Consider the following 17549-nt stretch of genomic DNA (forward strand, 5'->3'; position numbering starts at 1 on the left):
ATCTTCTGGAATAGTATATACAAACTGTAAAGAGTTCTCTTTTGTCTTTCCTCATTTCTAACTAGATGGTTGATATAGTCAAATGCAAGTTGTTGTGATCAAGCAGAATATAGACAGGGATATACAGCTAAATAGCTAGGATAATGACGTTAATTAGCCTAAAATAGTGGTTAATAGTAATGCAAATGTTTTAGAGTTTCTTTTAAAACAGCTCTTTCATATCGGACTTAAGTAGGGAAGTGCTTTTCCAATGTAGCAAATACAATAGGTGTATTTCATAATATTATTACCCTCATTCTAAAGATTAGAAAATAGCCTACTTATAGACCCCTACAGATAGCAAGTAACATAGCATTCTTACAACCAGTTTACCTCTCTATGGGAATTCAAGAATGCATATTTAACTAAATTTAATTTAAACTTAGGTATTTTTTCCAAACTATCACTTTTTTCATAAAGAATGGAGATACACAGGCTCTCAATTGAGCAGTTGTACATTCATTGATTTATGCAAAAATATTGAGAAACTAGTGCTAATCATTTATTTGCTAGATGATGGGGATACAAAGGTTACTAAGACAATAAACAAAGGAGAAAAGATGATAAATATTGTAAGTGAATAGGGTGACAAGATAATGCAGGAGAAGATGGTAGTTCCTTTACATGTGGTGACTGATCAGTAAAGACTCTCAGAAGTTATTTAAGCTAAATCCTAAAGGACATGAAAAAGCCAGCTATACAAGAAGGGGAAAGTATTTTAGGTAGAAGGCACGTAAATAAGAAGGTAATGAGGCAGGCAACAGCTTGGCAAGGCTCTAGTGACTTTTCGGAAGACCAGCAGGGATTTAGCACAGTGGGTAAGAGTAGCTCAGTGAATTGGAAAAGGTGGTCAGGGATCCTGCAAGCCTCCATGGGCCATCAAAGTGAACAACATGAAAGTCATTAGTGACATTTTTTTTTTTTTGCCAGGAATTGTAATAACATGGCAGAAAACACAAACTGAAGATATGTAAGTTTGAATATGAATTAGAAGTGAGAAAGTGGCAGCAACATCTCTGTGTAGACAATTCTTTTAGAAATGTTTGCTATAAAAGGCCCTAAAGGACAAAAAGTTCAAGCAGATATGCATTTATAATCAGGGTTCTGTTAAATTGTATAGCTGAACAATATAATATAAAATATATTCAGTGAATTTATATAGAGAGGAATACATCTAAAGAAAAGCACTTTTTATATTCAAAATTTCAAGAACTTATATGGGGTTTATGAAGATGAAAAAGAAATACTGTAATTTATTGGCTTGGTATTAAAATAAATAATAGAATATCTGCTACATATATTTTCTTAGACTTTCATGTGAAAATAATTGCCCATGGAGATAAAGACTAAACAAGGAATTACTTTGGTCTTAGGTCTGACATAAAACCTGTGGTCTTGAGCAAGTTCCTGTGAGATTCAATTCTATAATCTTTAAAATCAAAGAGTAGGAATAAGTGAAGCTAATTACTTTGTAGACCCTAAAATCGATTATTTTATCAGATCATAAATAGATATTTGTTTCCATCTGTTTCTATGATTGCAAGTAACACAGACCCATAAAGTTAGCTGAAGCTGTTTGTTTCCCCTGAAGATTTTTGAGCAAATGGAAAAATAGACTACTGTTTAGATAGGACAGCTCAACATCATAAAGGTGCTAATTCTTTCTAAGACAATTTATAAACTTAATACATCACGATACACATAGAAACAACTTGAGTTTGTTTCATTTTGTTTCTTTATATCTAGATAAATTAATTTTACAGTTCATATGGAAAAATACTATTTCCATACTGTCACTTTAATAGGACTTGGAAGTAAATTGAATAAAATATATGTGTTTATTCCATGAAATTAAGCTAGATCCCTCCTAAAAAGACCAAACTCTTAAGAGAGGAATGTGTTTGAATCAAGTCATTTCTCTGCAGCATGATGTAGAACATACTTTATTAATTGATGCTTCTTGTGTAAGAGGACCACTACTGGCCAAATAATCTATGGTCAAGAGAAAACATTCATGTAGGAAAAACATGGATACTCCTCCTTTGCAGTACCATGGAAGGGAGGGTGGAGGATGGAGCAGGCATTGTGGCAGTGTAAGTATAAAATGGCCATGAAATGAGCAGGAAGGCAAAATAGCAGAAAAAATAAAAGGTAAGTGATCACTTACAACTTAAAGACTTTTCATCATTTTGTCAAGTGTAGTTTTACTTTCTTTTTTTTTTTTTTTTTTTCCAAAATGACAGCCCAGTTTAACAGTAAGTTTGGTCTGAAATTCCTGAAAACTTTTTTCACTTAGATTGGCCTTTAGAACAATGTCTAAACTATCATACCTTCTTATCTTTAAGTGACATAGAGCTTCAATCACTTTATTAATGTCATTAGTTATGTTTTAACTTACGTCTTTGCATTTTAACTCATGTCATGAGAATGCTCATAGTTTTTAAATTTGTTCCCCCTGACCCTAAACTTTGCCATGCTCATTAATAATATTTAAAGTTCCTTGGTTACATTTAGATTTGGAATCGTGTCAAATCATTCTATACTCTTATGTCACATTCAGCTAATGGCAAAAAGCATAGATGTTTCTGTTGAATACTTTGCTTTCATTTCTTCTTCATTTTCCTAGTCATATCCTGTTCTAGTATGGACCCATACTCTTCTGCTCAGATTAATGGTATCAGGAGGTGCTACTCAAACAAATATGACCACCTCCTGCTTTATATTCTCATGTTCAGGAAAAATATTCTGAAAGGCTGCTCCCCTATACAGGTGTGTAGTGACTTACTGGAGAGGATAGGCAATTCAGGGATTTCAAATTTCGAATTAAATTGTTACTCTTTTGTATCAAAGAAATAAAAATATAACAAAAGGCAATATCAAGGTAACTTAATTCAATACATTTCTCACTTAAATGATGAAGGGCTGCTCACAGAGTCAGTTTATTTAGCAAAAGTTCTTTTTTTAAGACACAGTACTCTCAATCAACAACTACATGGCTGTTGCATGAGTGCCATGACTTCTTAAAGGCATAGTACACTCAATCAACAACTGCAGGACTGTTTTTATTTCCGACAATAGACTGAAGGCAATAGAACCATGTTCATAAACCAACACAACAGGGAGATTTGTTTCCAGGAAGTAAATAATTTAAAACAGATTTTATTAAAATAAGAAGATAGAATAGAATGCACAATCCACATGAATATTTTAGAAGAAGACATACAATTATAAAGAAATTTCACATTTATGGTTAGTCTCTTGGGGATTTACTCACAAATACCCAGGGATATTCATGTTCTCCTCTTTGTTCTTTCTTATTGGTTGGGGAAGTTTGTAAAGTATTGGTCTAACAAAAAAATAAACTATTTTCTTTAAAATTAAATATGCAGGGAATTCAGATTCATGCAGACTCAAGTTAAGCATTTTTTTAAGTTTTAATAGAATGCTCAGATAATTTAAGAATGTAGTAGCTCATAGAGGAAGAAGCATAATTTTTCACAGTCATATTATTGGGTGGTTTTACCTGAAATTTTAGGAATACTTTCATAAACATTGATATTTGTGAAAAATCAAACCTGATATCGGAGAAGGAATTTCCAATTCATGTTTAACCTCTCTTAGATCAATTGCATATCAATATTTTAAATTCTTAGGTAACAATGAGAATATTTCAAGAAAGTTGATAGACATTATTTAAATTATATCTATAAGAAAATAGCTCAAGCTTTAGAGTCAGTTACAACTTTCATACCCTCATATTGTACCAGTGTGAAACTGAACAAGATATTTTTCTAAGTTTCTAATTTTTCATGGGTAAAACACAGATACTAATACCTTTGTTAATAGTAGGAATACCTCTAAGTGGTCATCTATATACTCTGTGGGTTACATAAGTAACGCAGAGATTGAGATATTTTAAAACTCCTTGTAAGTAGTTCTTTGTTTTGTTTCATTTAGGTTTGGTTTTGCCTTCTTTCATTGACAAAGAGGAAGATATGCAAAGTTCAACAGACCACTTAGCTTGAGTGCCTTTTCATGTTCTCTGGTGCTCCTTCCTTGGTGCTGTTAGGAAATGTCACATCTTTAACCTGAATTACAAGAAAAGCAAAAACTAACCAACAAACAAAAAACATCTATGTATTCTTAAACTATTTTATTACCCTCTGATATTGCCTATACTCAATTGATCTAATTTAGTATCCCCAGGTTTAGATTCTGTAAAATTTCCCTCTCCATATAGAGTCTTGCCATCCTGCATTCTGTTATTTCATCACTGATCTTAGGTCCTACCCAGAATGATACCATTTTCTTAGGGACTGAAAAGGTCTGAGGAAGAAAGAACAAATGCAGGATAGCAAAATGAATGCATGTACAATGCTGGGCTTAAGAGATAAGCCGTGGTTATGGTGATGCGTACACTGTACATGCATACTATACTTAAGAGATAAGCTGTGCTGAATTGTAATATGCAGGGTTTGAAAGATAAGTTATACAACAGTTTGAACTAGAAGTAGAAAATCTGTGTGTAGGCTAATTGAACTTTGCTTAAATGCATTACAAAAACAGAAACAACTGAAATGGACATTCAGTTCATATTCTGGCCATTCAAGTAAAGCAACACCTACTGTCATTTCATAGACTAAAGATATGGAACTATGTTGACATTGTAAAGGTTTTAAGTTCAGAGGTACATGTGCAGGATGTACAGGTTTGTTACAGAGGTAAACGTGTGTCATGGGGGTTTGTCACAAGGATTATTTCATCACCAGCTATTAAGCTTAGTACCCATTAGTTATTTTTCCTGGTCCTCTCCCTCCTCCCACATTTTACCCTCCAATAGGCTCCAGTATGTGTTGTTCTCACCTATGTGTCCATATGTTCTCATCTTTTAGCTCCCACTTATAAGTGAGAACATGCAGTATTTGGTTTTCTACTCTTGCATTAGTTTGCTAAAGATAAGGGCCTTCAGCTTCATCCAGGTCCCTGCAAAGGCCATGATCTCATTATTTTTATGGCTGCATAAAATTCCATGGTGTATATGTACCACATTTTCTTTATCCAGTTTATCATTGACGGGCATTTAGGCTGATTCCATGGCTTTGCTTTTGTGAATGGTGCTGTGATGAACATTCATGTGCATGTGGTTTTTATAATAGAATGATTTATATTCCTTTGGGTGTATACACAATAATGGGATTGCTGGGTTGAATGGTACTTCTGTCTTTAGGTCTTTGAGGAATCGCCACACTCTTCCACAATGGTTGAACTAATTTACACTCCCACCAATGGTGTATAAGTGCTTCTTTTTCTCCACAACCTCGCCAGCATCTGTTATTTTATTGACTTTTTAAAAATAACCATTCTGACTGATATGAGATGGTATCTCATTGTGGTTTTGATTTGCATTTGTCCAATTATCAGTGATGTTGAGCTTTTTCATGATTCTTGACCGCATGTATGTCTTCTTTTGAGAAGCGTCTGCTCATGTTCTTTGCCCGCTTTTTAATGGCTTTTTACTTGTAAATTTGTTTAAGTTCCTTATAGATACTGGATATTAGACCTTTGTCAGATGCATAGTTTTCAAAAATTTTCTCCCATTCTGCAGGTTGTCTGTTTACTCTATTGGTAGTTTCTTTTGCTCTCCAGAAGCTCTTTAGATTGTCATTAGCTTGAGTTTGTGTTTTTTCTGTATATTTTTAATGGTACCTGGAGAGCTGGACCATTTGTTGAAGGGATATTTGATATGCCACTGTCTAAAATGCAAATCCTATGATAACACTTACCTGCTTGCAATCTTTCAGTCTCCACACAAATCCTTCACAACAAAGTCAAACTTCATGGGAAGATCCATCATGGTAAGGGCCCCTGCAAATGTATCTAGCCTTATTCCAACTATTTCTCTGACACATACACATACATGCATACACACCACACTTACATGTATATATACTAGTTACATTCAATATGTACACAATTCTTGCAATAGGATAACTTTTTATACCTATACATTTCATACCTTCACATAGGCCCTTTTTAAAACTTAAACTCAGCACAAATATTTTTCTTGCCTCTACAATCTGGGTGGAGTACACCCGCTTAGTGTTACAATACCAGCTTATTCATGTATATACCATTATGTCTAAGTCATTCTACTGTAATTGGAGGTATACATCTTGATGATAGGATCATGAATTATTAGTTTATGGTGTTCAGTACATAGAATATAAAATATGTAAATATATAGGATAAATGAATGAATGATTGAATTAATGGAATTTATTTCTTGACACTATATACAGCAATTGATATTTCACTTCTGATTTATAGATTTTTATTTTTAAAACATTTATAAAATGCTTTAAATACAAGCACAACTTAAAATAATCTTATATCCTACTATTCAAGAAATAAATGTTAGCATTTTGCTTTATTCCCTGAATTCATTCACATATCCACATGTCTATAATTTAAAATAAAAACAGAATATTCTAGAACTGCAATTTTGAATCATTTATCTTTAAAATGAGGCAATAAGTATTTTAATAAGTTGGCTAAATCCATTTAAATTCTAAGAAAGTAGTGGGTTATTTTTAAAGAAAAAGACCACTTTTTTTGTTTGGAAGAAATGTTAATGAGCCCTTTAGTTATTCTAAGGAGAGACAAGAGTAGATTGGAGAGGCTAAGACAAATTGGAGTTAATTTGCCCAGTGAAACAATGTAAAAGAAACTCTCCTTTTCACATTATCACAAAATTGCTGATATTTAGCTGGACACATGGCTGCCTAGAATAAAAACATTTCTCAGTCTCTCATGTAGTGTGACTGCACAGTAATACATAAGACAAAGCTTCCTAGAACTGTCCATAAATGACAGCTGCTGTATGTTCCTAGTCCTTTCTCCTTCATTCTGCTGGTGTGACAGTTGGAACTCTACTTATATATAAACAATTTTATAATGACCTAACCTGAACATGAATCTGATACATGTATCTGATTGTTTTGTAGGGGAGCATTTTTAGAAAGAGAACCTGTGCTTAATGTATTCAATACAAATTGTCAAATTGCACTCTGAAATAGTAGTGGCAAAATATAATCACATAATGGAAGAATGTCTGAATTCAAAATATTCTGAATATCACTGAACATTCTTAACATTTGAATCTTTGCTAATTTTTCAACAAAAGCATTTCACCAACATTTTAGTATATATTTTGTATTACTAGTTAGGTTAAATTTTACTCAGGCTTATATTGGCCTTATGTAAGTTTTTGCTCTTGGTCTTTTCTTTATATCAACTTTTCTGTTTTAGTTCATCTTATTCTCCTAGTAATTGAAATAGTTGTGTATTTTAAATTTTCATTATCTCTTCCCTTAAAAGTGAAAATACTTTTATCCTAGTTTGAAATCTGTCTTTAATTCTCATTATGGTATGTTTTAAGGTACTAAATTTTAAATTATTGATAAAAATATGCTTCTAGGCTATTGTTAGTAAAGGGGGAAACTTGGATAGTTTATTGTTTTATTTTAAAAAAAACTTTTTATCGATGTATGTTTAAACACAGAGACAGAATAGAAAATAATGTCTAACATAGGCCTTAACTTTAAGTGGAATCTTCTAATCCACATTGAAAACAGCTTGCCTTCATCCACACAGCTTAACTGGATCAAGAACTCAGCAGTTGTAATTAACAAGACCTTACCATCTTACCATTCAAAGGAATTCTAAGTCAGGAAGACAAGTAGTGGCAAACTTTATTATTTATTTCAGAAACTTTTCAAAAATTCATTTTTCTGAACAATATATTTCTCTACTATAACTCTCTTAGGACAATAGAATCTTTTTATGGTAAATAGTCCTCTTCTCCAGGTATAAATCACTCGAGTGGGCAAACCACTTGCTTATCAAAATAATTTACTCATCAAATGCTCACTTCGTTGTGTCCACCAATCCTAAATATCTCTATCATGGACTCCAGCCAATCCTAACCAAATCTCTCTATCAATCAACTTCGGCCTAATACCAGATCCCAAAACCCTATGAATATGTGGCTTTGACCTTTACACACTTCAGAAGCACTATCAAGAAAATATATTGAGGTGGCAAGGTAAAGTCTCCTTACTGCCAGTAGGTGATAAGCTTGGTTTTCATTCAGTGACAGATTATTAGCAGGTTATTTGGTGATATTTTTGGAGAGTTGACAATAGATGATACAGACTCCCCAAAAGGCTGAGTCTTGTATTAGTTAGGGAAACAGAAACAACTCAGAGAAACAAAACCAATAAATATATGCATTATACAGGAATAATGTATTCTATATTATATATAAATCTCTTTTTATATATTATTTATAAACCTCTATATATTATATATGTACATATTATTTATATTTATATATTATATATTTATGAAGAAAGAGAGTGAGAGAGAAAGATTTATTAGAAGGAATTGGCTTATGCTATTATAAACGTTAAGAACTTCAGGCCCAGGAGAGTCAACGATATACTTCTGTCTGAGTCCAAAGGCCAGAAAAGATCAATGTTCAGCTCAAATCCAGGCAGAGAGAAATGATGTTTTTTGTTTTAATTTTACTTTAAGTTCTGGGATACATGTGCTGAATGTGCAGGTTTGCTACACAGGTATACATGTGCCAGGGTGGTTTGCTGCACCTTTCAGCCCGTCATCTAGATTTTAAGCCCCACAAGCATTAGGTATAAATTTTTTTAACTAGCTTTTTTTTTTTATTAAGGCCTTAAATGGATTAAATGAGGCACACCCATATTAGGGAGGGCAATCTGCTTTACTCAGTCCATAGATTCAAATATTAATTCTATCCAGAAATACTCTCACAGACATATCCAGAAATAATGGTTAACCAGATATACAAGTATCCAGTGGCTCATTCAAGTTGATATATAAAATTAGCCATCCAAGTCTACCCTATGTCAACTTGGCACTCACACATATTTCCTTAAGCCATACTCAATCTCTAAACAAAGGCAATAATAAGGTCATAATTCTGCCTAACATGATACAACTATTCAGTGTACAACCCAAATTCACAAACCCTTTCCCCAGATAGAGAGGCAAAGTAGTTATATTTGCTCATCTCCTTCATATTCCATAACTTAAATAGTATGATGTGAAATAAATGAACCATGCCTGCAAAGTACTATCCCTTCGGTGATATAACTGAGACTTCAAAAGGCAATTCCACCATTCTAGCAAATTGACTGCTTTAGAATAGTGGGAAATAAGATAAGACTAGTGAATTTTATGAAAATGGACCCATTGCTACATGATTTTTTCTTTGAAGTGAGTTTATTTTTTTAAATCAGAACCAATGCTGTGTGGAATATCATGAAGGTGAATATAGGATTCTGTAATTACATGGGTTGCAGTTTTGACAGAAACATGTGTCTGTTCTGGTAAGAACAAAATGCTGCTCTTTCCTTAGTGGAAGCAGTCCAATGTGCTCAACCTGTCATCAGGTAGCTGGCAGATCACCCTGGGAAATGATGCTACATCAGGAACTCAGTGTTGATCTCTGCTTCTGGCCAGCTGTGGTAATAGCCATGTCAGCCTTGATGAGTGGAAGTACATGTTGCTCAACCCATGCATAACTTGCATCACTACCACCTTGGCCACTCTGTTCATGAGCCCATTGGGCAATGATAGGGGGTGGTATGGAAAAATAGGGTGACTGATATCTACAGAATGGGTCATCCTATCCATCTGGATATTAAAATTCTCCTCTGTTGATGTTAATTTTGTGAGCATTCACATAGGACACAAACATATTCATGTTCTTTTGCCTGTTCAGACATATCTATCCACATATCTCTTCCCAAAATTTTATTTCTACCAGTTTTCCAATCATATTATTTCCAAGTTCCTGACCATCTAGCCAAACCATTGGCCACAGTCCATGAATTGTAATCCAATCGCATGTCTGGCCATTTCTCCTTCCAAGCAAAGTGGACAACCAGGTTCAGTGCTTGAAGCTCTGCCAACTGGGAGAATTTCTCTTCACCACTGTCCTTCATGGATGTCCCACAAAGGGGCTATACAGATATAGCTGTCCAATTTGAGGTGGTGCCTGCATATCCTGCAGAACCATCTGAAAACAAGGCCCAAGCTTTCTCTTTCTCTGTCAACTGATCATAGGAAATGCCTCATTAGGTCATGGATGTAGGCTGACAGAAATAAGGCAGGGTAGCAGAAGCAGGAACCATAGGCATTTGGGCCACTTCTTCATGTAACTTACTTGTACATTCAGGGTTGCTCTGGTCCTATCATGTCTATACCACTTCCATTTGATGACAGGGTGTTGCAATGCATGCTCAACTTTATGGCTTGATTGGTCAGATCATATCCCCTTCATGATGGGCAGCTCAGATTTCATGGTAACTTGGTGGTCAATGGTTAACCACTTAGTCCCTCCTAAGACCCAGTGGTGAGCTAAGAGGTGTTTCTTAAAAGGGGACTCGTGTGGGTAAGACGGTAGGACCTTAATCTAAAAACCTGAGAACTTATGTTGTTATTCACCTATAAGGGCCTTCCAAAGGCTCCAATCAGTATTTCTGTCTACCATAAACGCTTCAAGTGCCATTGGATTGGCTGTATTAGATGGCCCAAGCAGCAGACCAGCTTGCACAGCAACCTTGGCCTGTTGCAAAACTGTCCCTTGTTCTAAGCCCCACTAAAACCTAGCATATTTGGGGATCATTCATTAAATGGGCTGGAGTAATGCACCAAAATAAGGAATATCTTTCCTCCAAAGCCCAAAGAGGTCCACTAGGCTCTTAGACTTTGTATCCTCCACTGGATTCTTAGAAATTGTATCGTGGTAGAAGGCTCATGGAATTTTGCTAAATTTATTTCTCACCTTCTGACAGGCAAATGTCTTCCTAATAAGCCTATGGTAGTTGCTAATTCTAGCTCACTAGGTCCAATCAGCATAATGGCATCAATATAATACATCAGTATGATAGCTTGTGGAAGAGAAAGGTGATCAAGATCCCTGTAAAATAATGTATGACATATCGCTGGAGCAAACTCTCTGCTGGAAAGCAAACTGTTCTGGTGGTCTTCACTCACAAGTATCAAGAAACAAAGCATTTTCAGGTTAATAACTGGATACCAGGTAAAAGGAGACATGTTAGTTTGGTTAAGCAATGAAGTCACATCTGATAAAGCAGCTGCAATTGGAGTTACCACCTGGTTAACTTAAGATAATCCACTGTCATTCTCCCAGATCCTTCTCTCTCTTCTGCACAGGTCAAATAGGTGAACTGAATAGGGTTGTGGTGGGAATCACCACCCCTGCATCTTTCAAGTCCTCGATTATGGTACTAATCTCTGTAATCCCTCCAGAAATGTGATATTGTTCTTGGTTTACTATTTTCTTATGTGGAGACAGTTCTAGCGGCTTCCACTTAGACTTTCACCCATATTAGTCCTTGACCCAAAGGTCAGGGAACCAATATTGGGATTTTACTAGCTGCTGAGTATGTCTATTTCAACTGTACATCCAGAACTGTAGAAATAACTATAGGATGGGTTCAGGGAACAACTGGATCCACGGTGAGAAGACAGAGCTGAGCTAAAGCGCCATTGATCACTTACCTCTACAAGCTCCTATTCTGACTGGTAAACTATAGTGATGTGTTAGGTCTCCCATAACTGGTGTTTATGTTCAGTAGTTCTCCAAAGGTCCAATTATTTTTATTTCCTACATGCACAGTTAACCTGGTAGAAGACTATAGGTCCCTTTGGAGTAGTTTCAGAGAAAGATTAAGAACATAAACATTTATCCTTCCACAGTGTACTGAGTCCTTCCTTAAGGTAACACAGCCTCTTCTTTTTAGGGACTTCTGGTACTGTAAACTCGTTCAAATCTGGAAACTGATTGAAGGGTAATGACTCTGTTTTCATGAATCAAATTACACCTTTGTTCACCTGAGCTAGAGCCTTTCTGCTTATACAGATCAAGTAAGAAGGCTTTCAAGTAGTAGGCTTTCTATCTATTTTACTTCTAGGAACACCATGATCACCTAACCAATGCCATAAATCTGTACAAGTCAGACTATTCTAATTTCTGCATTGAATCTGCTGACCATTATGACAACCACCGCACCTTGCCTTTGGCAGTTGTCTGTTGCCACTTGGCCTCTGCCACAACATAATCCAATTATTCCTATTGCATTTAGGTTTTCCAATTCAGTGACTGTAGCCCCACTGTAAAGTCCACCTATGGATAAACATGATCATGGAGCTCTTTGAGGATGCCAGCCCTTCTCTCACATATTTATTCCTCATAGGAATGGTAAAAGGTATGTCTTCTGGACCTCCCAGTGTAGGTAAAGTTTAACTACAAATTATCTCTAACATTCCAATCTCCCTAAGCCTTTGAATCCATATATATATATGGATCCATATATATATATGAATCCCTATACATATGAATCCCTATATATATATATGAATCCATATATATATATTTTTTTTTTAAAGGCAGGTCATGTATTTGTAATTCACTCACTTTGGGTTCATGTTTCAGCCAAAACTAAACAGTGAGAACCCTTCCAAACTCCCTGAGCTGAAACATTAGATGGAGAATCTACTCTTAGACCATAGTAGTAAATTCAGCCTGATGCAACATTATGATACTTCTACCATTATTCCATGTTTTAAATATTCATCTCTGTACATGTTCCCCCAACTTCCGTCTGTATAAATTGGAAAATTAAAACATTTCTTTTAGAGTACAGCACACCACATCATGGGTCCCACTTTGTACCTTACCTTCTATGTCCTGCTTGGACTTGTATGTAGTTATAGGTATAGAAGCCCAAAGAGGTGTTGGAGGTAGGCCCTGAGGAGAAAGTACATTGTCTTGCATGGCCATGTCTTAAAAGAGGCAATTATGCTTTCCTCAGGCAATGCAGGTTTCTCACATGGGAGTGGAGAGGCAACTACCACTCGGGGTGGGGAGACCATGTCTACTGGAGATAGGGGGCCTCTTCCACTGGCAAAGAAGACTCATTAGAATGTTTGGGCTCAGTGACCCCAGTTGCATCAAGGTCTTTCCGCAAGCCCCATTTCAACTTATAGGATCCCATTCTCTCCCAAACAACACTCTCATTTAAAAAATGGATGCCCCATGAAACTAAAAGTTCAATTTGCACTGTGATCAGCAGCAACAGGATAGGATTTGGGGTTTAATTTTCAGTAATCTCAGTTCTGGGGCTGGAAGAGATAGGGATCTCCTTCAAGGTACATATGGAAGTTTTCAGGGCAATTATGCAGCCCTTGAGCTGGGAAACCAAATCCCTGAGCTCATTCTTTTCTTTCACTACTTTGTCCAGTGATAATAGGAGCAACTATTCTACCTACTTAGTTATATTGAATTATATTTCCAAAAATATGTGAAAGTATTACATACACGCTCATCTCCCTGCTTCTTGCAAGCAATTGATTAGGAGGTTTCCAATGGAGCATTTTACATATCTCTATTATAAAGATATTGGAATATTGGTGCTTTCTTTACAACTGGAAAGTCATTAGCATCTTTAAATCTAATCAGATTAGAGAGTCAATTCCAGAAAACCAGAAACCCAAGAATCAATTCAGAAAACTGATCCCTAAGTTTTGGTCTGTTTAGAACCATTCTTGGTACCAAAATCTGTATTACCTTCAGGGTTGTCCCAAGAAACAGATATGAAAGGATAAACAGATAGACAGATATAGATATAAAGATTTATTATAAAGGATTTATATAAGGAATTGTGTTATAATATAGTCAGCCCTTTGTATATGCAGGTTCCACATCCATGAATTCAACTGCAGATAGAAAATATTTAAAAAAATAAAAAAGAATATGAAGTACAGCATAGCAACTGTTTCCATAGCATTTACATTCTATTAGACATAGTAAGTAATCTAGAGATTTTTAGAAGTATACGGGGGATATGCATAGGTTATTTGCAAATACTAATCAATTTTGTATGAGCAACTTGAGCATCTGTGGATTTTGGCATCCGCAAGGTACCCTTGAACAAATCTCTCATGGATATGCAGGACTACTCTATATGTATATGCACACACGTGCACACACACCCACACACACAGACACACACACACACACAGACACAGAGAGACACAGAGAGAGAGAGAGAGAGAGAGAGAGAGAGAGAGAGAAACACATACAGAGAGATTTATTGTAGGGGATTGGCTTATGCAATTACAGAGGCTTACAAGTCCAAACCCAGAAGAGCTGAGTATATAATTCCAGTCTGTCCAATGGCAAGAGAACACCAATGTCCCAGTTTAAAGACAGGCAAAAACAAAGAATTCTTTCTTACTCAATCTTTTATTATATTTAGGTCTTTATAGGATTGAATGTGGCCTACCTACATTGGGAAGAACAGTCTACTCAGTCTACATATTCAAATATTTCTCTTGGCCAGGTGTAGTGGCTCACACCTGTAATCCCAGCGCTTTGGGAGGCTGAGGTGGGCAGATCACTTGAGGTGAGGAGTTCGAGACCAGCCTGGCCAACATGGTGAAACCCCATCTCTCCTAAAAATATAAAAATTAGCCAGGCATGGTGACACAGGCCTGTAATCCCAGCTACTCAGGAGGCTGGGGCAGGAGAATTGCTTGAACCCTGGAGGCGAAGGTTGCAGTGAGCTGAGCTCACACCACTGCACTCCAGCCTAAGTGCAGAGCGAAACATGGCTCGAAAGAAAAAAAAAGTTCATCTTTTTGATAAACACCCTAATAGACACGCTCAGAAATAACATTTAACCAAATATATAGGCACTCTTTAGCTCAGTCATGTTGACACACAAAATTAACATCATAAGACTTAATGTGTGGCTCTTCCCCATTTAATACTCCCTCCTCGTGCCTTACTTTAATATATATTTTGATGTCAAAAGAGGATATTTTCATTTCTAGTCATTGGAAAATTCATATCTCCTTTAAAGATGGTGTCTGCTTTTCCTTTTACTTCTTTCATCTCTTTTACATCTCTGACGCTAACAGAGACTTCAGTTCTTTAGACTCTTTAAGATCCATTCTTGGATGTGTGGGCTTTAGGTAGAATGGTGAAGGGGTCATAAAGAGAGTGGAATTACACAAATGTAGAATTATCACAAAAATGAGCTTTTAAAAACACTATATTTCCAGTTAGTTAATTATGCTTCCTCTCTAATGGTTCACATTCCCTAATTCCCCATTTTTTAACTCTGAGATAAATTTGAAGAGTTAGAAAGCTACATCCCATCATTTGTAGTGTTGTTCAAACTTCATAGATTCTATGTCTCTGAGCCATTGGGTAGACAATGAGAGAGACCCAAAACACTTCTTTCCATTTCTGCAACCTAGAATTTTTCTTTCTGCCATTCCTTAAGTGTGTGTCAGTCACTAACCTTCTTTGCATTTCAGTATTTCAACAAAGAATTTCATCTGTATTTTGGCAACAGGTAGATTGCCAACTTGATTTGTCAAAAGCATTTTATAAGTTTTGAAGTGCATGTTTCATGTGTTTATTTAGATCTTCCTAAAGAGTGTTTCAGTTTTATTGATGTGCAATTGTAATGTTTTTTGAGTTTCAAATATGTTAAATTAGTTGACTACTGTCAGCACTTTCATCAATCCTTATTTTATCTTGTCTCATCATTCAGGTATGAAAATAAAATTTTTATGTTCTATAAATATAATTTTTACATCATTAAAAAAACTTTTTATCATCCATAATTGTACATAATTTTGGAATACATGTGATATTTGATATATGCATACAATGTATAATGATCAAATACAGGTAATTGAGATGGGGTATCCATCATTTCAAACATTTATCATTTCTTTGAGTTAGGAACATTCCACCTCTTTCCTTTTAGCTGTTTTGAAATATACAATAAATTATTAACTATAGTTGCTTTATTGTAATATTAAACACTAGACATGACAAAATATTTCTATAAAAAATAGGAAGATTAATCAGACATGGTGGTATGCGTCTGTAGTCTCAGCTACTCAGGAGGCTGAAGTGGGAGGATGGCTTGTGCCCATAAGGTAGACGTTGCAGTGAGCCAAGATCATGCCACTGCATTCCAGCCTGGGTGACAGTGAGACCCTGTCTCACAAAAAAAGGAAAAAAAAATGTATGCCTGAGTAAGAAGGTATCTCCTTATTCTTCCGTTTTCTTTTATAAATATAATGTACTGGATATAATTATAAACCTGTGTCAACATTCAACTCAAAAAAATATTTATTGAAAACCGCCTATGTGTAAGATACCCTGCAAGAAACATGTTAGAAGTAAAACAGCTCTTGAGTCAAGGAGCTACGTTGTCATATGTGAAAAAGAGCTGTTAGCTAAGAAAGCACTGGTATCTAAAATGCTGTAGGAGATGATCAAGGGTTTTGCTCAGATTTTTGGTAAAAATTGAGAAATTGAATTTGGACCTTACTTTATAGCAGGGGTCCCCAATTCTGAGGCTGTGGACCAGTACCTGTTCGTCGCCTGTTAGGAACTGGGGTACACAGCAGGAGGTGAGCAGCAGCTAGTGAGCATTAGCACCTGAGCTCCATCTCCCGTCAGGTCAGCTGCAGCATTGGATTTCATAGGAGTACAAACCCTATTGGGAACTGCACATGCAAGGGATCTAGGTTGTGTGCCTCTTATGAGAATCTAATGTTAGATAATCTGAGGTGGAACAGTTTCATCCATTCCCCGCTAACCACCCCCCCCACCAAGTGTGTGGAAAAATTGTCTTCCATGAAACAGGTCCTTGGTGCCAAAAAGGTTGGAGACAGCTGATTTACAGGATACCGAAGACCTAGACCAGTGGAGTTGGAAGGGTACAATTTGTTGATGGGCTGTGGAAAGAGAACATTAAGATCCACAGTGCCTTTTGATAATTGACACAGATATTCTCATCTTTCAAAAACATTTGCTGGTTTTGTTGTCATTTTTTCTATTGTTTTTAACATGACATGCATTTTGTAAACTTATGTGTGATGGGCAGATTATCTTTAAATGGCCTACCAAACTCCCAGGAATATTGCACAGGAAGAAGGAGAGGAAAAGGGACTTATAGTTGAGCACAGCTGTACTGCAGAACATGAACAAAGCAATGATTGACAATAAATCAAAAAAATTATTAGGCTGTTTTATGGAGAATTTCACATGAATCTTAAGGGTTGTACCACATTAGATTATTGTTCACAAGATTATTGTTGGGATAATAATGCATTGCAATTGGCTTTATTACCAGATGTTTCTGTTAAAAAAGTTGGAGAGCTGTCCTGTAGTCATATGCCCAAGTTATTTTTTTTTGTTTTGAGATGGAGTCTCACTCCATTCTGTCACCCAGGCTGAGTGCAGTGGTGCAATCTCGGCTCACTGCAACCTCTGCCTCCTAGGTTGAAGTGATTCTCCTGCCTCAGCCTCCTGTGTAACTGAGACTACAGGCGTGCACCACCACGCCCTGCTGAGT

At 36.0% G+C, this 17549-nt stretch overlaps 1 long non-coding RNA gene across 1 annotated transcript in view; it reads right to left on the reverse strand.

The window, feature by feature from the left end:
• Positions 1-3448: 3448 nt before the first annotated feature.
• The window catches only part of LOC105369881 (uncharacterized), a 58306-nt gene continuing 44205 nt past the window's right edge, over positions 3449-17549 (reverse strand). Inside the window, exon 5 of the long non-coding RNA XR_945161.2 lies at positions 3449-4127. This is a non-coding gene — a long non-coding RNA (uncharacterized LOC105369881). The remainder of the gene's footprint in view (positions 4128-17549) is intronic.

This window comes from Homo sapiens, chromosome 12 (assembly GCF_000001405.40).
Source record: "Homo sapiens chromosome 12, GRCh38.p14 Primary Assembly".
In the NCBI taxonomy this organism is placed as follows: Eukaryota; Metazoa; Chordata; class Mammalia; order Primates; family Hominidae; genus Homo; species Homo sapiens.